We start from the raw sequence: 24495 nt of genomic DNA, 5'->3' as shown, positions 1-24495 counted from the left end.
ATCTTCAGCCCTGCTTTCGGCAATCACATTTGTCCCTCATCATTCTGCTTCCCCGGCCCCGACATTTAGCCTCTCCTCACACTGCTGTCTGATATTACAAATTGTGCTGGGTAATTTACCCCAGCCAAAATAGGAGATTTAGAAGCATCGGGGAGTTCTGGAAATCTATCCTGCGCGTCACAAAATGCTTCCTGTCCTGGCATAACAGCCCGAAGGGAGAGAAGAAATGAGCCTATGTCGGGGTGGTAGGGCCTCTACAAATAATAAAATTATAAGACCCACAGAAGGAAAAAAGCTTGGTTTTCTTTGTAAGAATTACTATCTTGACACCCTATAACTAATATAAGTTGGGAAATTTTTTAAACATTGCTTTGCCTACCTACCTTAATATGACAAGATTAGTTTCAGCAGTCTGGCTTTACAGAATTATTTCCTGAAAAAAAAAAATTTTAGCTGGTAATTGATACTCTTATGCATAGTACATTCCTTATGCACAGGAACTCCCTGGATCCTGGATCCTCCTCAAATGCCAGAGAAAGTGGATTTATATGAAAGATTGGTTCTGTAGCTGTGGGAACAGCTGACTAAATCTATTTCTCTCTCTTTCTCTTTCTCTCTCTCAATGAATTGCCTAATTTTTCTGGTATCACAGAGATACTGTTTTGGTTAAACTTTGCATGGGTGTTATTTCATAAAATTTGTTATGTGTGTTTAGCAAATAAACACTGTGCTATCCACTAGGATTTGGAGCTAGAAGACATGAGATCTAACCTCTCAGTTCTAACACTTCATTCCTTTTGGAAAAGTCACTTAACCTCTTTAAAACTCAGTGTTCTTACTGGTGAAATAAGGATAATACCCACTACAGAATTTTTGGTGAGGCTCAAGTGAGATCATGTACAGGAAAGCCTTTTGGAAACGAAAATGGCATTACATCATCGTTAGCTGCTATTGTCATTGCAGTTTCACAGTATTTTCAGAGTCCCTGTCTTCAAAATTCAGAATGTTTGGATTTCAGAAAGTGATTTAGTACATATGGCAATTATTAGATTCAGTTGGGTATGGGATAGCAACTCATAATGAAACACATTAATATTTCTGGAGTAAAATAGACAAATATTTCTACTAAGTGTGATAAATAAAGACAATGTGTAGCTTCACGAACATTTAAGACAGGATTTCCTTTCAAATCAATTACAAAAGTGTTTCATTTTAATAGCTTTTCAAATGTTTCAATTGGATATGAGAAATAGTCAATCTGTATTCACAGGACTTCAATATTAAATGCCATTCCTTTTTGGGAAGTCCATGCAGACTCCATTTTTAGAGAATATTTATTAAATATCTTGGTGTCTATGGGAGACCTGCTCATCATGTTGTATAAACATTGGAAGAGCAACGACAACAACAAAAAAAAAAAAAAGAAGAAGAAGAAGGAAAGAAAAAAAAGACAGGACAGCATCAAAATTTTAAAAATATTTGTGCATCAAAGGGCATTATCAAGGGAGTGAAAAGGCAACCTGCAGAATGGGAGAAATCATAATATATCTGATAAGGGTGTAGTATCAAGAATTTATAAACAATGAGAGGTTCTATAGCCAGAGACTTCTGGAAAATATGTATCTTTCAGCTTCCAGACAAATAGTTGCCACTATGAAGTTATGGTTAAAAACAATATAAAAGAACAAGAAATGCTAAATGAGAAATGTCTTTTATAGCTCATTATTCTGAAATACCTTGTGCCCTCTCTTCAGTTTATTTTAATTCAGGAATACAGTAGTTCATTTAACAACAGGGGAAATCTCATTGGAGCTGATAGATAGGCAGCCCTGCTTGTGTTTTCATTGTTCCTCCTCTAAGCATTGTTTTCTACTCTGTTTGTTCGGGCTTTTTGCGTCTATTGTATATACAAAGCATTTCCAAATCGCCTTTGAAGGAAGCAGTTTGACATGCTAAATTAAACGAAGCTCCAGAGACATTTGTTTTAGGCAGGAAAACAAACTCAACTAGACACACACACACAAAAAATGCCGAGCCCATCAGATCTGAAACCGTATTTCTTCTTGTCTGCAAGTTAAATGGCAGTAATGTAAATGAATGTGAATCGCTTGGCGAGGTGTGAGAAAATAAGCTACAAATTACAAAGCTGGCGAGTGAATGTTGAAACTGGTGGAATGTGATAATAATGCAATGGGTGAGGATCTGAGCCTTCATTAGAGATCCTCATTTCTCACTCATTTCATTTCCAGTTATAAAGTCCAGTGAAATGGATCTTGGTAATTGCAAAGTTGATTGCTACATCGGTTTAGGGGAAATGAATACTGCAATTACTTTTTCTCTTTCTCTCTCTCTTCTCCCTCTCCCGCTCTTTTGTTACGTCCACGGGATTTTCAGAGAGCTTTTCCAAACTATCAGAAGGGTCTTACTTTTTGGTAGTTTTTACATTTCTATGGCCTATGGGCTCTGGTACAATTTTGTCTTTTAAAAATGAGACATGATACCATCACCAGATGACAAACCAGAGCTGCAGTCTTGGTATCTTGGATATATAACTCTTCACACTACCAAGAAAATAAAAAGAAAACAAAAAATCTCTAGTTGTTTAAGTAAAGGTTCTATAAGGAAATAACGGAGGAAAGCAGGTTTATTGCATATTAATTGTGACAGGATATAAGCTACAAACCCTTACATCAAGGGTGCTCATTAAATTGCATTCCAAGCTCTTTCTAAATTAAATTTATTATGATTTGGTAACCATTTAAAGTAGATTTGGTGGGACTGATCCAGTAGTCAGTTTTTCAGATTAAACAAAGAGAAACATCTCTGTTAGGTGTTGACATCTGTTCCCTGTCATGCTCAGAAAACATGCTAAGAATTGGCTGGATCACGGAAACAACAGTACTGTGTACTTCTTCATGAGAATAGTCCAGTTTCAAAATGACTGACACAGCCCTTTTAAGGTCAGTTGAAGGCACAGGTGGGGAATGACATATGGGAATCCTGGAAGAATCAGATCAACTTCCAGCCTGAAGTCGATAGGGTTTCACATCCCCCATGCCCAAGTTCTACTCTATGTCTATGAGACTTGATCCCATATCCTTATTCAAGAAAGGCAAAGCAAAATTTTAAGATGAATGTTTACTGTCATAACTCTGATGAGTTGGACAAGGGAATTTGACCTTTTTGACTGCAGTCATCAGGTTTACGACACAAGCAAAGCTCAGTAGGCTATATCTAAATTCACAGTCACAAGTGAGTCTTTCTTCCCTGTTTGGTTGGCTCTGAATTGTATAAATAGCCTCTGCCACTTTGCTCTGTCTCTCCTCGGAGAAGGTTTCTTATCGTGAAAAATAAGTCACACAGAATGCTTAATTCATGCACAGTCAGGCAAATTCTGTCTTTCTCAAATCCTGAGCAGCTACAATTTCATGGTATGATGGTTTACATGTCAACTTTACTGGGCTACCAGATGCCAGGACATTTAGCTAAATATTACTCATATTGTCTTGGATGTGTCTGTGAGGTGTTTCTGGATAAAAGAATAACATTTGAACTGGTAAACTGAGTAAAGCAAATTGCCCCCCTAATGTCAGTGGGAGTCATCCAATCAGTTGAATGCCTACATAGAACAAAAAAAGCTGAGTAAGAGAAAATTGTTCCTGCCTGACTGCTTGAGCTGAGCCATTGGTCTTTACTGACCTTCAGGGTCAAACTAAAACGTCAGTTCTTTTTGAGTCTCAAGACTGCTGGCTTTCAGATGAGGACTTACACCATCAGCTATCCTGGTTCTCAGGCATCCAGCTCAGACTAGAAGCAGACCATTGGTTCATCTGGGTCTCCAGCTTGCTGACTGAACGTCTTGGGGCATCTCAGCCTCCATAATCATATGAGCAAATCCCTTATAATAAATCTCTATAATATTATTTAGCCCATGTAATATAAATAGATATTATAAATACAAATATGTCATAATATAAATATATAATATTGAAACAAATAGTATAAAATACATATAATAATATATTATATATGAAATAATACATTATATATTGTTATACTATATAATATATAAAATAATACATTATATGTTATGTATTAGACTATATAATATATAAAATAATACATTATATGTTATGTATTTATACTATATAATATATAAGATAATACATTATATGTTATGTGTTATACTATATAATATGTAAAATAATACATTATATGTTATGTATTATACTATATAATATATAAAATAATATATTATATGTTATGTATTATACTATATAATATATAAAATAATACATTATATGTTATGTATTATACTATATAATATATATGAAAACAGAAACAGATTCTATATTAATAATATATAACAGATCCTATATTAATAATATATGATAAATAGATATCTAAATAGTATTATATAATACACATATGAAAACAGAAACAGATTCTCCACAGAAACAGCACCAATACTATACATACACATGTGATTTTTAAATAATAGTTGGAACTTAAATACTAGAGTATGTTCACTTTGGCTCTGATGGGGCCAACCATTATCTTGAGCTTCTGATGGCATTAGCAGAAGACACCTAGAAAAACTAATGAAAATGTGTTTCATTAGTTTTTCAAGTTTGAAAATGCGATGCTTATTATGAACTTACATAGTAACCTTGCATGTGTGTGCTTTGAACAAGTACTATATGACTAGCAGAGATTTTTCTAATTTGAATGTTTGGCTACATAATTATAGTAAAAATTATCATTGTGAAATACCTGCTATGTGCTAGGTATACTGAGATCTCTGCAGATTTTTTTTAACCTACCAATAAAGTTGCAAATGATGAGGAAATGGCATTCAGAGTCATTAAACAACGTGCCCGTAGTCAGTCATTCAGTGGTTAGAACAACAAACACATGGGTCTACTTGATACCGCCAACCCCTGCTATGGGTAGAAAAATAGTAACAGGAAGTATCAGGAAAAATAGTAACAGGAAGTATTTGATTCCATTGGGAAGAAATGAGCAGTAGTAAGCTTGTATTTGTCACCCAAGCTATAGTTATCACTCTGTTCATCTCCTCATCTTTCTCCTACTTACAGAGCAAGATTTCACTTAGCCCTCTGTTCTTCTATTATCCCTACAAACTTATAGAGAGAAATTCAAGCCAAAACAGGTTGCAAGACTCTCTTCTTTGGGCCATAATGGTGCTGTGCCCCAACTGAAATTTGAAGGGAATGAAAACTCTCTCTACATATTTTTTTAAAAAGAAATTTATAACATATATGGGGTTCATATGCTGTTATAATTGCCTCTACTCATGATTTTATGTTGGGAGTTGGAGGGCCAAGTGAAAAGTAGAGAGAAATCCATTAAGTAATTTCACAATATCAAAGTCAATTTTCTATTTTTGTAGATAATGTGTCTAATTTATAAAATAAGGACTTTGAATAAGATTGTCTCTAACATTCCCCAGGATTAATGTTGTTTATATAATTCTATTTTTGAATCCCACAAATATCTAAGACATTGTTTCATATTCCTCCTTCTATAATCACTTTTTAACTGACTTTTCTCAAACTTTTAGCAGTTGAAATTTATGAAATCTTTCAAATTCTCAAATTCAAAAGACTTTACTCAGGCCCATTCTTCTTGAGCCCCACGAGGTATTTGGCACTGGATGCCACCCAAGACATATATAGAGATGTGTTTTTATGCATTAGTGTAATGTTCTAAGGAAAGATCCCATAGATTTCATCAGAATCTTCATCACATTTCATGGCACAAGAAATAAATCCTTTAACTGACACAATAGCAAAAATAAATAAATAAAATAGAAAGTCATTGGAGACCATTATTAAGGTAGCTCCGTGAAGTGCTTCAGATAAAAACAATGTACTGTAAAAAGGCATTAAAAGGTAAAAGAAAACTGATGAAGTGGCAACACCAGATGTAGTCAATAATTTTCAGAGGGAGATCTCTCTTTTTGTGATCGCCTTAATCAGATATGTGGCAATAATTCGTTAGTAACATTCAGAACGCTCATCTGCCAGGATGTGTAATGATCATCAATTGATTTCCTTTATTTTCTAGAATGTCTTAATGGGTTTATCTAAGTTGACACACTGAGTTGTCGTAGATCAGCCTACAATATGGGTTTCCAGATCCTTTCACCCAAATCCTTGCCACCATTTTATATCACTTCTTAATGCTTTACGTATGCACTTAGCAAGTCAGAAGCATGATCTTATATCCTCTAACATGATGTGGCTAACAAGCATTTGGGCTTTGACTCACAGGACCTAAGTTCAACCCAGTTTCTTCCTCTGTAAAGTAGAGCTAATATCACATTCACCTCACTGTGCTTTTGATACGAGGATGCATAGAAAGCATTTTACAGTGCTTTGGAAGAGCACAGCCCACAAAAAGAGGTCCATAAATACTGGTGTAATTATGATTATGATACTTGTATTGCTTTGCACGGTACAATATAACATCATGGTAAAAAATGAAGGCTTTGAGATTGCAAAGGGCTGAGTTCAAGTCAGGCATCACTCTTTCCTAGCTGTGGAAATGCAGGCAAATTTTATTATCATTGCAGGAACAAGACCCATAGAACAGATGAGTAAATGAATTGATATTTGTGATTCACCATGCTCACTCTTAGAAAATATTCATCCATGCCTGCAATGACTGTGTCATTCTTTTTTTTTTTTTTTTTGAGACAGAATCTCACTGCATTGCCCAGGCTGGAGTGCAGTGGCACTATCTCGGCTCACTGAAACCTCCACCTCCCCGGTTCAAGCGATTCTCCCACCTCAGCCTCCCAAGTAGATGGGATTACAGGCATGCACCACCAGGACCGGCTAATTTTGTATTTTCAGTAGAGACAGGGTTTCACCATGTTGGCCAGCCTTGTCTCGAACTTCTGACCTCAGGTGATCCGCCTGCCTAGGCATCCCAAAGCGCTGGGATTACAGGCGTGAGCCAGGGTGCCTGGCCATGACTGTGTCATTCTGCATTTAAAGATTATTTTCCCTTTTATCTCAGTAGTCACAGAAGGAGTTAATATGCATGTCACACCTCCCCCTTGGCCTAAATCTCAGCAAGTTACTGTTGCTTTGGCAAAGACACAGCTTCCCAGGTGCAAGCAGTAAATTGCCCCATCCTTTGTGAATAAGCTTTTTGTAAACAAAAGTAACAAGTGTCCAATGCCTTGGAATTCAAGAAAGCCAAACTGGCCAGGCGCGGTGGCTCAAGACTTTAATCCCAACACTTTGGGAGGCCAAGGCAGATGGATCACGAGGTCAGGAGTTTGAGACCAGCCTGGCCAACATGGTGAAACCTCGTCTCTACTAAAAATACAAAAATTAGCTGGGCATGGTGGCATGTGCCTGTAATCCTAGCTACTCAGGAGGCTGAGGCAGGAGAATCACTTGAACCCGGGAGGCGGAGGTTGAGGTGAGCCGAGATTGTGCCACTGCACTCCAGCCTGGGTAACAAGAGCGAAACTCCATCAAAAAAAAAAAAAAAAAAAAAAAAAAAAAGAAAGAAAGAAAGAAAGAAAGCCAAACCAACGAAGATATAAAGAGAAATGAGGATTTGGAAGGATTCTGAGTAACACAGCCTCCTTCTCTATTAATCTCTCCTGGCCAAAATATTTTTTTTATCACCAAAATGATGCTGCAAATTCCACAGTTGTGGCTAGAAGTTCATATGACACTGCCATAAATCCACGTGATAATTTGAATTCTCACAACATACTCTGTTCATGTAGAGGAGAATTTGTCAAAGAGCCATAGAAGTACTTCATAGACCTCTAAGAAAGGAATATTTTGCAACTATATGAAGAATCAGGAGAAAAAAATCAAAGTTCCCATCATCCGAATTTTTTTTTTTTTTTTTTGAGACAGAGTTTTGCTCTTATTGCCCAGGCTGGAGTACAATGGCATGATCTCAGCTCACCGCAACCTCATGCCTCCCGAGTTCAAGCGATTCTCCCGCCTCAGCCTCCCAAGTAGCTGGGATTACAGGCATGCGCCACCCACGCCTGGCTAATTTTGTATTTTTAGTAGAGATAGGGTTTCTCCATGTTGGTCAAGCTGGTCTCTAACTCCCAACCTCAGGTGATCCGCCAGCCTTGGCCTCCCAAGGTGCTGGGATTACAGGCGTAAGCCACCACGCCCAGCCCATCATCTGATTTAACAGCAGTAAGAACTTAGACTTAAAAATGCTCTATTATACACATCTGGCTGTAACTATCTAGTTTAATCCTGATTAACAATTCTGTGAGGCAGATATTATTATTAGTCCATTTTACAGATAAGAAAATTGAGTTGAGGAGAGGTCAAGTAATTTGCTAACACCAGGAAGTGGTAGAGCTAGGCTTTGCTCTCTAATGCAAATCCTAGCCTTCTGAGTCTGGACTGTATTACCTCTTGCTATGCTCTGTGTAGCACAGTATTGTAAAATCCAGGACAGCATTGCCTTCTAAAATCCAGGAGATTGTTTGCAAAACTGGTATCTCTTCATTTGCTGACTTCTGATGGGGCTTCTTAAAAGTATGCTGAATTTCACTATCCAGGTCAAAATCCATCAGGAAATATCTATCTTGATGCTGACACCACCACTACATTAAGTTGTTGGACATTAGAAAGAGACAACTCATCTACTGGAAATGAATCCCAGATTCTCTTTTGCTTTCCTAATTCCTTAACCTTCAGAAAATATGTCCAGATTTTCCAGGCTCTCAAAATTATTCAAATAGAGCAAAAAGGATCGGAGAGCGAAATCAGGAGAAACAATGTTGTTTGGGTATTTTGACTTTAAAACTATAAAGGCTTTCAAATCACTTTCTGGACTTGTGAGCTTGAAATTCTTTCTCAATAACACTACAGGTAATAAAATAAAACCAGCATCACCTTCAGAAGAGTTTGTTATTTCTCCTTCCTTTGTGTGCTAGGAAGGAGCTTGCTTCCCCGATGCCAGCTGTTTCAGAGGCCTGGGGCCTGCTTCACCTCTGGGGACATTAGCTCTAACCTTTCCATCTACTGGATTTAATCATATAACCATGTAATTAAATTCCAATAGTCAAGTTTCAGGGGCAGGGAAGCAAGGGCTGGGCCAGTTCCATTTAGCCCAAACAGATGGCAGACACTGCTCCTAGAACAGCATGCTCAGATCGCATGTTGCTAGCATTTGTGTTGAGTCCCCATTAAACACGAGCAACAAAAGGTAGAGTCAATCTGCTTAAGGAATGAAAGCCTCTTCACCTGCTTCCGTGAGATAAGGTGCAATGTATTTTTAATGTACACTTTTATCTTTTCTTGACAGTCAAGATTATTTCCACGTGATAGCCAAACCATAAGGTAAGCAAAGCTAATGGGTTTGATTTGTAGACAGCATATGGACCCCTAGGTTCCAAAATTAATGCGTTCTTTCTTTTTCTCTTGCCTACAGCTTTTCAAATCTTGAGGAAGAGCTTTCAGGATTGAGTTTAAAGATGCTTCTTCAATTTGTTTAACGGTTGTTAATAGCCAGGTGTTATTTCAACATCTGGTTGAAGTCTGTTTAATGATTTTACCAAGAAGACATCAGCAACATCTCCTACCTTGTTAAATTAACATTGCTATGTTGAGGATACAGTAAAATTGGGGTTTCCATACACTGCAGGTAAATCTGTAAGTTAGTAGTACAAATTTCACTGAAAGAATATGACAGTGTAAAATAAAAGCTTACAAATTCCTTTGCTCAATTTTTCCACCTAATTGAAATGCACAAGCAAAGCAATGTACATATTGCCTTATATATGATACTGAAAAAAGACATCTAATACCCTTCATTGGACCCCCAATTAAATAAATGTTGTTACATTAATAAGATAAAATATTATGTTTCAAAAGCATATTTTATAAAAATAAATTGCTCAAGTAGGATGCAAATCTGCTTAAATGTATTATACCATTTTTTATTAAGAGTATGCACAGAGATATGAAAATGGTAAAATTAGTTAGATCTGGCTGATAAGAATATGGGTAACTTTTATTTTGTACTTTATGTACTTTCTTCAAGTTGTCAATAATAAGTATACACTACAATTACATAGACAAAGTTATTTACAGAATGATACCATGGCATTTTCATAACTGTCTCAAATCCATGCTGTTAGTCATAAACAAATCACAATTAAAAAAAGACAGTCTTTTCATTCCACCAGGAACTCAGCAGAGCAAGTTTGGCATAGACATAAACATCAAGGTATTATCTTTACGAATTTGTATTTTAATATGCCTTGCCTTAAGTGAAATCATTCTGATTTCATCAGACGACCTCAAAAAACAAGACCATACATGACACTAAATCCATTAATACAAAGTGACATTGACTTGAGGTGAGCAATAGCATTTAGGAATCATGTACTGTTAGTGTCAAGAAAGATAATTATAGCTACAGTTTCTTTGTACTTCAATTTAAAAAAATAGGTATAATTTTGCTATGTTTTCTTCATTCATTTCTAGAAAGTTTGTTACTCAGCTCAGTTCTTAATGTCTTTAATAGCAACACACAGAGAAGGAGTCACACACATCAACATATCCTCAAAACATCCCTGCAACACAAGCCAGGAATGGAGCTTAGAAGAGCACAGAGGTTAAGTGACACAACCAAAGTGACTCTGTGGCTGAGTGCTCTTAATAGTCTACATCTCCAGTCTCCGTGTGGGCTCTCTCCAAGGTGGCTTTGGTGAAGGAGACAGTTCGCTTGGACCAGGGTTTCTTTCATGTGCTTCTAGGAAAAGGCAGCAAGTTTCAGTAGCAATGTGGAGAATACTAATAGATCCCCTAGCAGAGGTATTTTTAGCTTTGTCAGTTTTCCTTAAATCTCCAAAGGATACAGTTAAATTGAGATGCTAGAGATCACTTGCTAGGAAGTTTATTTTAAATGACTTAATGGAGCATCCATCCATGTTCAATGACTTGACGTAGAGCCTCCGGATATTGGTCACCCAGGTGTGACTAGCCAAATTGCATCCCATTGATGGCACCAGAAGATTTCTCATCTAGAATGACAAAATTGGTACTTCTCCAAGTTACATCTGTTCCCTAGCAAAGCTATTTTGTGGGCAGGGTTACAACTTTGCTCAAAACATTTCATTTACATATGTGACTCAAAATATCTTGAGCCTATCTATGTACAAGTCCTCAAGCAGATCACAAATTGAAAATGTTTAAAAAGAAAAGGTGTTCTGACTTCAGATGCATAATTATAAATGTCTGGAACCATTTGCTGCCTTCTTTCTTTTAGGTAATGGCCATTATCCCAGCCATTGCATATCAGCTGCCTTGAGTTAAAACCTTAATATTCCCTTATTTGTTCTCATGTGGTTAAAGGCAACTTCCACTCACAGAATGAACTATGACATTCCCCAAGCCGAACAAATCGAAAAGTTCACAGTTCTATAACCTCAGAGTTCAATGAATGTAAAGTAAGGTGTTCTTACATTGATTAATGAGCAAAAAATACTTTAATCTCCTAGAGGGGAAGATTTGCCAAGCAAAAACTTTTTTAAATAATAGAAAAAGAAAACTCATTGATAATTTCTGGATTCTTATAAATCAGTGAAAATATTTCATGCTTATTAGTTCAGCTATATGTTCATTCTAAGCAACTTAATTGATATAACTTACTGTGAACAAAAGCCATGTGTGAAAATCCTATGATTGACTCACTAATAGATGAAGCTCATATTTAACTGTGGCCTAATAAGTCATAATGTCATCTTAAATTTATTTAAAGTTGTATAATATTTTATTCAAAGGCTTTTAGTCTAAAAATAAAGATGGGTTTTTTGTTTGTTTAATCAGATGAAGAACGTTATAAGAAAAAAATTCTCAAAAAAGAATTTTCCTATGGCAACAAACAAAATGGCAAATACAACTTCAAGGTGGAAAATGCAAATTACTTCTGAAAGAAAACTTGGTATCTTGGGTATTCCTCAATGAAAAGGAAGCATGTCATAAGAAATAGAAGTCTTTCCCCAAACAATTAAAAAAGTTGCTTCTCAATATAAATATTACTGCATATCAGAGCACTTAATAGTGCTATTTAGAGATTCTTCAAATAATACATAAACTCAAATCATTAAAACATCATCTGAGCTAATAAGGTCATTAAAAACAGAATTATAATTGACTTTAATATGTTTATGAAAGAATCTTCAGCAACATCAAACATACTTTTAATAATACTTTGTTTTGCCTCCTAAGGAGACTTTGTTGTTCCTTGCTCATTGCTTTTTTTAATAAACAGCTGATTTAATGAGAATTATCTGATCTACGCTATTTTCCTAGTGTTGTTTTGAGTCCCATGTTTTACACAGAAGACTTTTTAAGATGTATTTTCCATTAGCCCCAGCCCTAGTGGGAAAGCATATTTAATAGGCAGGTGATGATGACCAATAATATGTTTGAAATTCCTTTTATTGTTCAGGAAATTAAGAAAGTGTTTATTAATTTTAGAATTTAAGTCAAATATGCATGCTGAGATTTTCAGGAAACCAACAACAGAAATAAAAATAGAACATATATCTTCCAAATCCATTGAGGGAAAAAGTAAAACCTCCTTGTAAGGCACACAATTTAATCATAAAGACATAGAAAGGATAAAAATAAGAAAAAAGTAACGAAAATATCAGCCAAAATAAAAGTCTGTATGATCAGATTAAAAACAATCAAAATAGAGTTTAAAGCAATAAAACAAAATGTACTTCTGAGAAATTAAGTGGGTCACTGCTTAATTAGAAAACATACGTTAAGTATTCTAAAATCTTCCCAATTAATAATATAGAGTCATAGTATAAGATATTATTGAAATAAATGGACACAGGCACATACATTTAACCCATTATCTCAATAATTCACAGCACAAACAAACAAAAACAAAATGTGATGAGAGATAAAATGAAGCGATATTAGCTTAATGTAATGGAGTTGCATAGAATTCTGTAGATAACAATCAGGCAAAATCTCTAATTTAAAGCAACTGACCAAATTGCTAAAACATAAAAACAAATCACAACAAATACACACACACACACACACACACACACACAAACAAACGAATACTTTCCAGGCTATGTCCTTTGACTTAAATGAAAATAATTTAGAAATATGTAATTAAAGATATCTATATACCAAAAAAGTTTTGAGACATTATCCTAAACAATTGATTAATCAAAAAAGATAATTGAATTAGAAAAGTTTAAAGCTGAATATTAACTTAAAATTACATATAAAAGATTGAGGGAGGCAGCTAAATTAGTTCTTAGAGGGAAATGTATAGCCTTATATTAAGAAAAACAAAACAGGCCAGTGGCTCAGGCCTATAATCCCAGCACTTTAGGAAACCAAGGCAGGAGAGTATCTCTTGAGCCCAGGAGTTGGAGTCTACAGTAAGCTAAGATCGTGCTACTGCATCCTAGCCTGGATGACAGGGTAAGACCTTGTCTCTTAAAAAAAGAAAAGAAAAAGAAAATTTTAATAATTATTGCAAAGAATATAGCTAGCTAACACCATTCAGCATGTATAGAGAATATGAACCAGTAAGAGAAAAAATGAAGAAAATCATGAACAGATAATAAATAAATAAAAAACAAACTTAAACACAACAGGAACTGGGGAAGTACAAATTAAAATCAAAATAAGACTCCATTTTTATCACAAACATAAATACTTAAATGTTTTGCAATAGGAAATGGCAAGCATGTGAAAGTGGAAACTCACATTTTACCAGTGGTAAAGAAAATTGGCACACAGAGAACAATTTTACAGTATTTAGTAAAGTTAAAAATGAAAATTGAATGTTCAATTTTAGCAATTCAAATTCTAGATACACTGTGTGTGTTTAGGAACTCTCATACCTGACACCAGATGACATTAAAAGAGTGTTCATTGAAGGATAGTTTATGATACTAAAAAATGTAAAACAGTGGAAATGTTCAACAATATAATACAGTAAAATTAAAATACCTATATATTTTAAATATATATGTATCTATACAATAACATATTATACTGTATTGCCAATGAATGAATTAAAGGAACATGGAAATGTTTCGACAACAGGATATTGAACACAAAATAGCAAAATGTAGAATGATTCATAGAGTTTGAAATTGTTTATGTATAAATTTAAAACACGTAAAATAAGGCTATACTGTACATCAATACATATGAACGTAGTAAGTATTTGACAAAGCAAAGAGGATAGTGTGACAGGTGAGGGGTTCAAGGGCTTCAATTGTATTTGTAATTTTTAATGAATAAAAGCAATGAAGCAAATTTAGGATGATATTAATTTCAGACAAAGCTGGTTGATGTGTACATGAGTGTTCCTTGTATTACTTTCTTTACTTTCTTGTGTTATTAAAATATTTTCTAATAAAAAATAATGAAATACTATAGCAACAAACTTTATAATCACCTAGGACAGAAATGCTTCATTCTTCAGAATATGAGAAAGTATTTTATGTGTATAAGATGTACATTAAAAAATAATTTATTGCCTTTACCAAAAACACTCTCTCTCCTTTGAAACTGTTGATACAACTCAGGTAAAGAAAAAAGAAGAACTCACCATTGACACAAAAATATTAATGATATAAGGTTCATTAAATTTTATAGTGAGGAAAAGTGTGGATAGTATCACAAATTCCAGTATGAAAGAATTTATCTTAAAATCCTTTGCCTAAAACCAGTATGATCAAAACAACATTCTGGTTTTGATTCTGAGCTTTATGTTTGTTAGGATCAATCTGGCATCATCTTTGCACATCATTCAAAAACTTAATCCAATATATTGTGTGCTACTGATAACAAATGTGGTTAAGGAGTTCATCTGACAAAACACTGAACAATTTTGAATTAAGTTCTGCCTCAAGACACACATATCCATCTTGGTTCCTGATTATCTTCTTGTTTTTCAAATTATTAAAGCACATAAACCAAAAGACCAATGGATGCAAATAAGAGTTACAGCATCTGCAACATATTTTATCTGCTTCAGGCTAGTTCTTTCAATGAGCTATTAAATCATCAAAATTTGAGTCAAGTGATTTCTACTCAAGTAAAATTGTTAACCGGAATAAATACATAGGGGCTTTCTGGAGGAAACTGTAGAAAAGAAAATTAATAGTTTGTAAATTTCCAGATTCTAAAATCATTTCTAAAAGGTATATTTTTACATATATGCTTCTGCAATCAGACTGCAGAATACTGATGCTCTCCCTGTCAATCTTAAATTATATTGGGGTAATAGGCATATTGACAGGGAGAGTATCAAAATTGGAGCACTCCCTGTAGCCAAAATATTTTGCATGGGTGCTATGATGCAAAGGAATTGGTAAATTATAATAGATCAGTGAATTCTGTGACTGCTCACACATGGTTTAAAATCTATTCATTCAGAAAAATGTTATTTAATTCCTCTTATGTGCCAAGCATTGTGTTAAGTCCTTATCAAAATAAATTATTAAATTCCTGGATCTTATAACTTAATGGGAGGCAGGCATTAAAAACACAATCACAGAGGTAAATGACCACTTAGAGTTGGCATCCTTGGTGGAGTCCTATGGGCAGTTAGGGTGGCAGACAGTACATCTCATCTGTGTTTGGTAAGAGGTCCAGTTTAGGAAATAAAACCTACCTAGGTATTTAGGGAAAATGGGCAATTATACACTTAGAAAATTATAGGAAGAACTAAAAGAGGAAAGAAAAGGGACTGCCAGTGGAAGTATTAAGTACAAGAGCACATCTGAGTGATTGCTCTCTGGGAATCAGGAAAACAGCTGCACCATATAGCCACCATCTCCACCTCAACTTCCCTTGACACTCATGTCTTAGCAAACTTGCTAATCAAACCAGCAACACAAAGATGGCCTCTGCCTCATTTTTGCCTTTCCAAATGTATAAGTATATTTAATGGTGAAACCTCGTTCGCATTCAGCCCCCTAGCAACAAGGGACTCTGGGAAATGCACATGTGGGCTTACAGCTTCTTTAGTACAAGATGACTCCTAGAAGGATGTGAAAATAGATGTCAAATACTAAATCCAGTACAGTGTACACTTTGTACCTAGAACTTAGACTTGAAAAAAGTAGCAATAACAACATGCACCTGCCTAACATACAGTAACTATTCCTTATGCAATTAGAATGAGGCTTACACTGTCCCCAAATTTTGTTAGTCACTGAATCTATAGCTGGGTTTTCTTTAACCTTCAATTCCAATCATAGTTTCAAGCTGATAGTCTGTAATTTGAGGGACAAATTACAAATGTATCACCATTTTTATAAAATTGTAGGGAAAAAGAAAGAGGTAAAAAGTCAGTACATGCATAACAAGGCAAAGAAGAGAACAGGAGTAGTTATTAATTTCTTACTCTGCAACTGGCCATAAGATCACAGTTGTTTATGACACTGTTTATCCTCTTCCTATTTCATATTACTTTTGACCTCACCTAGCACTGTGACTAATTAGGGCTCTGCCAAGCAGGGTGACCCGAATCCTAATTCCTGAGGGGTTTTTACTCTTAGTGGTTCTGCCTGTATGTGGTTGCGATAGTTGTCCATTTAACTTGACAAAAAAGCATGGAAGTTCTTAGAGATGTTTCTGTAAAATTCCCTGGGTCCCATACATACATCTCTTTGTAGGAAAAACTTACTCTCCTTAATAATCAGGACCAATTGTTCCAGTTAATACACGTAACTTCTTTGCTTATAGGCATGGAAAGACCAAATTATTCAGTGGCAATCATAGAGTTCAAATGAATCATTGTTGTGTCCTCTTGGAAGAGAAACATTCTTCCATTGACTAGTAAGACTTCTAAGCCATCATATCCCAACATCATGTGGAAGGAGAGCTAAATATTGTGAGTGATGCGTAGGTGAAAAATGAGTGTTATCTCTCCCAGTTCCATCCCTTGAGTTTTAAACACATATAATTTGGTATGATTTACATATATTATATTGCTGGGCAACATTCAATTCTGCTACAGATAACAAGAAAACAAAACTCCTCTGTTAAGTAAGTTAGTAAACTATAAGGCATATTAAGCAAAGGTAAAATAAGTATGTCTTGTGCATACTAAACATAGATAGAAAGGAAAGACCAAAATATGCCTAACATTCATAACATGCTATATATACATGGGGTACCTCAGGCACCTTCATACATGACATGTACACGAAGCATATGAGATACTAAAATTGTATGAGGTTGTGGATCAGTTGCACATTAGTGACATCCATCTTGAGCAGATATGCACTTTGTCTAAGAAAAAGAAACAACATTCATAGCTGTTCATCAAGTAATTGGGAAGCTATAGCTTTGGTCAGCTGTGCATGTATGTGTCACTGTGTCTCTTGGACAGAGTATGTTGGTCCCAGGCAACTTCCATATCTTAAGCCCCTTCCTTAAACTTCAGTTCTGGTCCACATAACCATACCATCAGAGAGGAAGGATGATAAAGTCAAGAGGCAGAACCAGCCTGGCCAACATGGTGAAACCCCATCTCTACCAAAAAAAACAAAAATTAGCTGGGTGTAGTGGTGGGCACCTGCAATCTCATCTACTCGAGAGGCTAAGGCAGGAGAATTCCTTGAACCTGGGAGAAGGAGGTTGCATTGAGCCAAGATTGTGCCACTGCACTCCAGCCTGGGTGGTAGAGCAAGACTCCATCTCAAAAAATAAATAAAAGAAAAAAAAATTCGAGAAGCCCTGAAACAGAAGAGGCCAAGGAGGAAGAATATCTGATTCTGAACTCAAGATTCAAGTACTATGGTCCATTCTACCCACTTTTACCTTCTTCTAAGAGGACTGCAAACCTACTTCATCCTTTCCTCCCTTCCTTCTCATGATTTGTTTTAAATTGATTCATAAGTCATCTGACTTCAGCATCTTAATTTGGTCTGTGAGCTTCTCTGTCCAATGACATCTGAGATTACCATGAGCTTTGGTATTTCCTCACATCACATTTAACTACAGACAAAAAGGGCCAGGTATTGGCCACTAATTCAGATCATACATCTTATTCTGAATGACAGTGTCCTCAACTTCCAATTACAGCTTCATCCAAGTGACACTCTAACTGATTTTTCCACAGTCCATTATAGTATTTTAAAGGCTGGTTGCTTCAGGCAACTTGTGGTGAATGATAACAGTGACTCTTACCGGCCTGAGTTCATTTTCTTAACCTCTGTGCCATAAATAAATCCACTGTTTAAAAGTGATGTTGTATGGGTCACCATAATAATGTCCCATTAAGTAAGTAAACAGATGCAAAGGCATGGTTACAAGGCAGGCAAATCTATATACAGAGTAATTGTCTATTTCAATATGGATAGTTGTCCTTTCCATAAGAGAAGAAATCCACTGTCACCACCTGCCACTAAATAGATTGCTGAACCTCCTAGTGAATAGTGCAATATGAGAGTATCAGAATTGGGCTCTTAGGTACTCAGTATTGACTCTACCAAATGAACTATGTTGTTGAATGCATATGTTACCAACATCTTTGCTATCATAAACTTTTCATTCATGAAGTCATTGAGCAAGACGTGAGGAGGGTGGCTGGGGAAAAGGACAGCTTGACATCCATATAATAGATCACCTTATCTACTGAATCTCTGAAAGATTCCTCAACTAGGAAGATCTTCTGAAAAGAAATAACATGTGGCATGAATATTCTCATAGGTTCTGCCACTTATGAACAATCCTTAACACGTATTTCTTCCCTAAGTCTCCTTATTACCAATGATCCAAATTGTATCCATGCTTAGTGAAACCTTTGTTTCCAAGCAGAGTGAACAAATAGATGTACCATTCAAAGACCTGCTCACTTGGAAGTTTCCTCTTCTCTATAGTTTCTCTGAGAAGCAGGTATGGGTTGAAGAAAAAGTGCCAATTAAGTAGGATGAATTTATGTGGGAGGGTGAACACCTGCTCAAGCAACAAATAGAGCACTCAGCCAATCATATATATATACACGCACACATTTATATGTGTATATATACTTCTATATACATATATGTATATACATATATACACATGTATACATATATACACATGTATACATATATGTATATACATATATACACATGTGTACATATATACATATGTATACATATATATAGGTATACATATACATACACACATATGTGTGTATATATATACTTTTTACTTGATGTAGGAGTTCTGCTGCCCAAGCTCAACTTTATGGTTGGTTGATCAAAACTCATGATTACAGTTCAGTTGCATTACTACTCGGGATCCAATAGCCAACAGTTGAGCCTCTTTCGGCATCTATTTCTATTAGCAAGACAAGAACTGTCCCTCACAAGGAGATTAATAATCTAAGAAAGAAAGCATGATTTTGCTTCAGAACCACAGAGCTCTACGCTATTAATCTCCTACGAGATTGGCAAAGTTTTACAAACTGCATGACCATCTGCCTGAAACATTTTATGCACCGTTGAATTTGCTGGATCATTGTAACCAAGTAGCAAAGACAGCAGCCTGGACCACAGCCTGGAAAAGCTAGAGAGTCTACTCTTCCTCAGCAACAAACTCCAAATTCACAGCTTTAGGGATTACTAAGTATTGAATCCAAAGTATCGAAGCAGCGCATCTAAAACTAGTATATGTTGCCTTCAAACATCCAGGGAGCCCATCAAGAACAGGCCCAGTTTCTTTGGAAAGGATTTCCAGACATGCCGGACTAAACTCCCAGAAATTTGCAAAAGGTGGCATGTCCCTGAGTTTTAGTGAGAATTTTCTTCTACCTTCTTGAATGCATGTGAATTACTGAGTTTCTAGGTTATCTTTTCCTTCCAGTTCTTCCACTTCAGTCACATGATGTTATTAAGCTGTAGACCTGTGGGACATCCTCTGGTATGATAAGATAATCAAGGGCCTGAGAGTAATTCATGATATCTCCATGGGGCGTGTTAATGAAAGTGAAAGCAGACTACTTTAGTGTTCTTTGCCTATTGAGATAAAAAGAAAGAAATTTCTAAATTGACAGTTGCATTGGAGATGCCATAGCTCAGTTGAATTTGTTTAAGTAGAGACCATATCTTCCACAACCATAGCAACTGGAATTACCACCTGAGTAAACTTACATTAATTGTATATTCTCCAAAACATAGCCAACTACTTCATAGATTAAAAAAAAAAATCAAGTTAAATGAGGACGTCTTAGAAATATCCACTGCTGCACCTTGAATCTGGGAATTGTGTGAGTGTTAATGATACTACATTGTGATAATTAGTCTGGCTTCAATTTGCCAAACCTGCATCTTTCCTTCATTTGCACAATTCAGGTACAACTTAAGTTGGCTGAACATCTATATTATTCATGAAGCTATAATGAGCAATTATCCATTCTTGAAAACAGGTTAAACACAGTTTCCTACTACTATACTTTTAATGCTTATAATAAAAACCACAACCACTCTGCTGCAACTGGACTAAATGTTGTCGTTTGTTCTCTGTCACTCCAGGATTCCACCAACCCCACTTAAACAGGGAGCACATTTTGTGGGCAGCATCTACACTTTCATCTCTATCTAAAAGAGGAGAGTCCTCATCAATGCATTAATAAATGCCTTAAAGAAACACCCTCTGGCCAGGTGCAATGGCTCACGCCTGTAAACCCAGCGATTTGGGAAGCTGAGGCGGGTGGATCACCTGAGGTCAGGAGTTTGAGAGCAGCCTGGCTAATATGGTGAAACCCCGTCTCTACTAAAAACACAAAAATTAGTCAGGTGTGGTGGTGCACGCCTGTAGTCCCAGCTACTCAGGAGGCTGAGGCAGGAGAATCGCTTGAACCCAGGAGGCGGAGGTTGCAGTGAGCTGAGATCACGCCACTGCATTCCTGCCTGGGTGACAGAGAGAGAACCTGTCTCAAAACAAAAAAAAGAAAAAGGAGAAAGGAAAGAAAGGAAGGAAGGAAGGAAGGAAGAAAGAAAGAAAGAAAGAAAGAAAGAAAGAAAGAAAGAAAGAAAGAAAGAAAGAAAGAAAGAAAAAAAAGAAATACCCTCTGAACTCTCTCATGAGATGTTTTTAGACATTAAAGTGAATCATATGATGGGTTACTCCAATGTTCCTATCTCCCTGTTATGGACTGTATATTTATGTGCCCCTAAATTTCATATGTTGACATCCTAGCCCCGAGTGGAATAGTGTTTGAAGATGAGGCCTTTGGGAGGCAATTAATCCATAAGGGTGGAGCCCTCATGTTGAGAATAATGACCTAATAAAAAGAGACAGGAGAGAGCCTTCTGAGGGCAGTTGTTTACAACTCAAAAAGAGGAGCATCACCAGACACCAGATCTGCAGGCAACTTGATCTTGGGCTTCACAGCCTCAAGAATTGGAAGTAATAAATGTTTATTGTTTAAGCCACTCAGTCTATGGTATTTTTGTTACAGCAGTCCAAACTGACTAATAAATATACAACCTATATTTCAGATTCTACAATATGCCAAGGAATTTCTTCCATCTCAACTTCAATTAGTGTGACTCACCATTGAGTCCAGATTTCAGTCAACCAATCCAGAAAGCAAAACAATTATAATCACTCTGAGCTGGTTGGGTAAGCTCATTGCATGCAGGCTCTAGTATATGTACCCATATTGGCTAATATGGCCCAATCTGGTTATGATTTTTCCTACCTGGTGTACCTCCCTTTGAGTCTGTTGCCATACATAGTCCGCAGATTTCTCCTGATAAAAAATAACAAACTATTGCCGTTTTTTTGTTGTTATTTTAGCCTTTTCTTCCCAGTTTATACTTCATATTTAAGCCCTACTGAGACACTGGGAACGAGCTCTAACTCTAGACTTGGAGGCAGTGAGGTGATCAGAACAAGCTATTTTACATTAGTTACCTCAGGTAAGTTAGTTCTCCCCACAAAGGCAGAATCAACCTTATATAACAGAGATGAAGGAGTTCTACTGGCAAAGAAGGCTCATCGGACTTGGGGGTTCAGTATAGTCAGAATAATTTAAACCTACCTAACATTCCCATTATAATGCTCTGGGTTTCTGATATTTCTCACTCAATGCCCTAATTTTCACAGAGAAGACCTGATGAGGGTGTGATTCAACTGAAATTATATTTCAGCAATAAACAAGATCAGACACTGTGTGCCATTTTTTTCTTTCTTTCTTTTTTTTTTTTTTTGTCAACAGCAACCTTGAAACTGTAAGAAATAAAATAGTGTCGGAGATAATCATAGATGCTCCTTGGACCTCTGACTTGCCTTGAGCCAGTTATTTAAAACTCTGAATTTGTTGTTTTCTTTCTATACATGCTTCAGCCTACCTCACAATTATTATATTTACATTCTCATCATAAAATTCTGAAGCAATCACATTGGTCACCAAAGCCTTGGCTTTAATAGGCTCTTCATTCCAGGTGATCTCAGGTAATAATTTCAGCTGCTGATTTTTTTTTCTCATTGCAAGCCAAAAATTATCAGTGATCCATTATGCATGAATAAGATTGTCTCTACTTTCAAATTCAGACAGTTTAGGTAACCAATATCAAATTTATACCCTTAGGTAAGTAGACCCACAATCAGTTTTATTATCAAATACTTAATCCAACAAGATAAAATGCAGGAAACAGAAATTATTCCATTTATTCAAAGCAGGAGAGGTATTTAATATAAGTATTAGGTGTGCACAAAATCAGGGAATGAATTGGAAAGGGGAGGGGAATAAATCAGGAACTACCTCTTAAACTGTTGCGTCCAAGGACGTACTACTGTAGTCCTTATCCAGAAATCAGGTCTCTCCTGCTGCTATTCACATCACCTGACTCCACTGAAGATAGTGACCAGACACTAAAACACTGATTATGGGCACCGTGCCTGATGGCCTCTTGGGCCCAAGACTGACATTAGTAAGAAGAGAGTTTCCACTTCACTTCTACCTTGAAAATCCTGCACACGTGCCTGTAATTGGTAGAACCTAATTTATACATAGAATCCAAACATAATGGAGTCCAGCAAATGTGATCGATTCTATCCAGAAAGGAAGGCATATAGAAGGAATTGGGAATAATGAATACCAATAAGCCATATCCAGGGAAAAAGCTGACTGTCACAGCTTTCCACCCTGGCATTAAACACCATGCTCTCTTCTTCAGTCTTTGGAGGCTGTTAGGTTTTTAAAAGGCTTCTCTATTGTTAGTTTTCACTTTCGTGGGTTTTCGCAGAAATAAGTCATAGACTAAATACTTTGTGGAAGGGATTAGAATAATTGCCACCCACATTATGGAGAAATGCACTAGATGTAGTACATGCTTTCTATGCATTTTAACTCATACCAAATCTATGAGGAAATTATGGCTACAGTTTAAGCAACTTGCCCAAGGTCACGGGGAAGAAAGGCCAGAAGAAAGCGAGGTCAGGATTTTCACAGAGGCGATTCAGCTGTGCAGCCGAAAAGCCTAAGGTAGGATCTGTATTTTAGAAACGTTTGTGTACAATTCTCTCAAGCTATTAAGAGAGTGAATAGGAGGCAGTTTCTAATGATGTGTTTGCCACACTATGTGGCCTATGTTCTACTCAAGGGGCTCAAATCTCTTTGCAGAGATGCTCGACTCTAATAGCAAAGACTGAACCTGACCAGTGAGAACTTAGCAAATGTATGGAATATTCACAAAGCATATTTATTCAATAGTAAAAAATTTATGGCAGCAAGTAGTTCAATCATGGTACAGACCTTGATGAGAGAACTTAGTCATTATTACCATTATTATTAAATAATTCTGTGTCTCCTAATTTGCTTCTGGCTCCCAGAAGGCTCCCAGTGGCTTTCCTATGAATTAAACAATTAAAGAAAACCTCTCAAGATATTTAATACTTGCTATGTATATTGTGGTGACCAAAGTTTACTTCCCAAGGAAAGCTTGGTCACGATCTTTATTAAAAACTAATAATTGCATGATTCTAGATGTAGTCAGCAGTTTGGAAGGATCATTACTCCACTGATTGCCTTACTGTCCTGATAAAATATACAGTTTTGGAAATAAAGTATTCAGGTTGGCCATTTCCAGATTTCCTTTGCTTTATCTGCAGAAGGAACCACCACAAGCTCACAGCAGAATCTACACTAGTCAAGTAGTTAGATAACAATAACTGTTAAGAATTTCTGCTAGTGGGTGGGGGGCAGTGGCTCACGCCTGTAATCCCAGCACTTTGGGAGGCCGAGGCGGGCGGATCACGAGGTCAGGAAATCGAGACCATCCTGGCTAACACGGTGAAACCTCGTCTCTACTAAAAATACAAAATATTAGCCAGGCGTGGTGGCAGGAGCCTGTAGTCCCAGCTACTCGGGAGACTGAGGCAGGAGAATGGTGTGAACTCGGAAGGCGGAGCTTGCAGTGAGTCGAGATCACGCCGCTGCACTCTGGCCTGGGGGACAGAGCGAGACACT

General features: G+C 36.4%; 1 protein-coding gene across 6 annotated transcripts in view; it reads right to left on the bottom strand.

The window, feature by feature from the left end:
* Positions 1-9938: 9938 nt before the first annotated feature.
* Positions 9939-24495, bottom strand: part of FLRT2 (fibronectin leucine rich transmembrane protein 2) — a 124285-nt gene continuing 109728 nt past the window's right edge. For all 6 annotated transcript variants that reach the window (NM_001346144.2, XM_047431176.1, NM_013231.6 and 3 more), the window contains one exon: positions 9939-24495. This exon is cut by the window's right edge and continues 18733 nt beyond it. The gene's annotated coding sequence lies outside the window, so the exon portion shown is untranslated.

This window comes from Homo sapiens, chromosome 14 (assembly GCF_000001405.40).
Source record: "Homo sapiens chromosome 14, GRCh38.p14 Primary Assembly".
Classification (NCBI taxonomy): Eukaryota; Metazoa; Chordata; class Mammalia; order Primates; family Hominidae; genus Homo; species Homo sapiens.
Note: the sequence above shows the minus strand (reverse complement) of the source record. Positions and strands in the feature narration are given on the sequence as shown.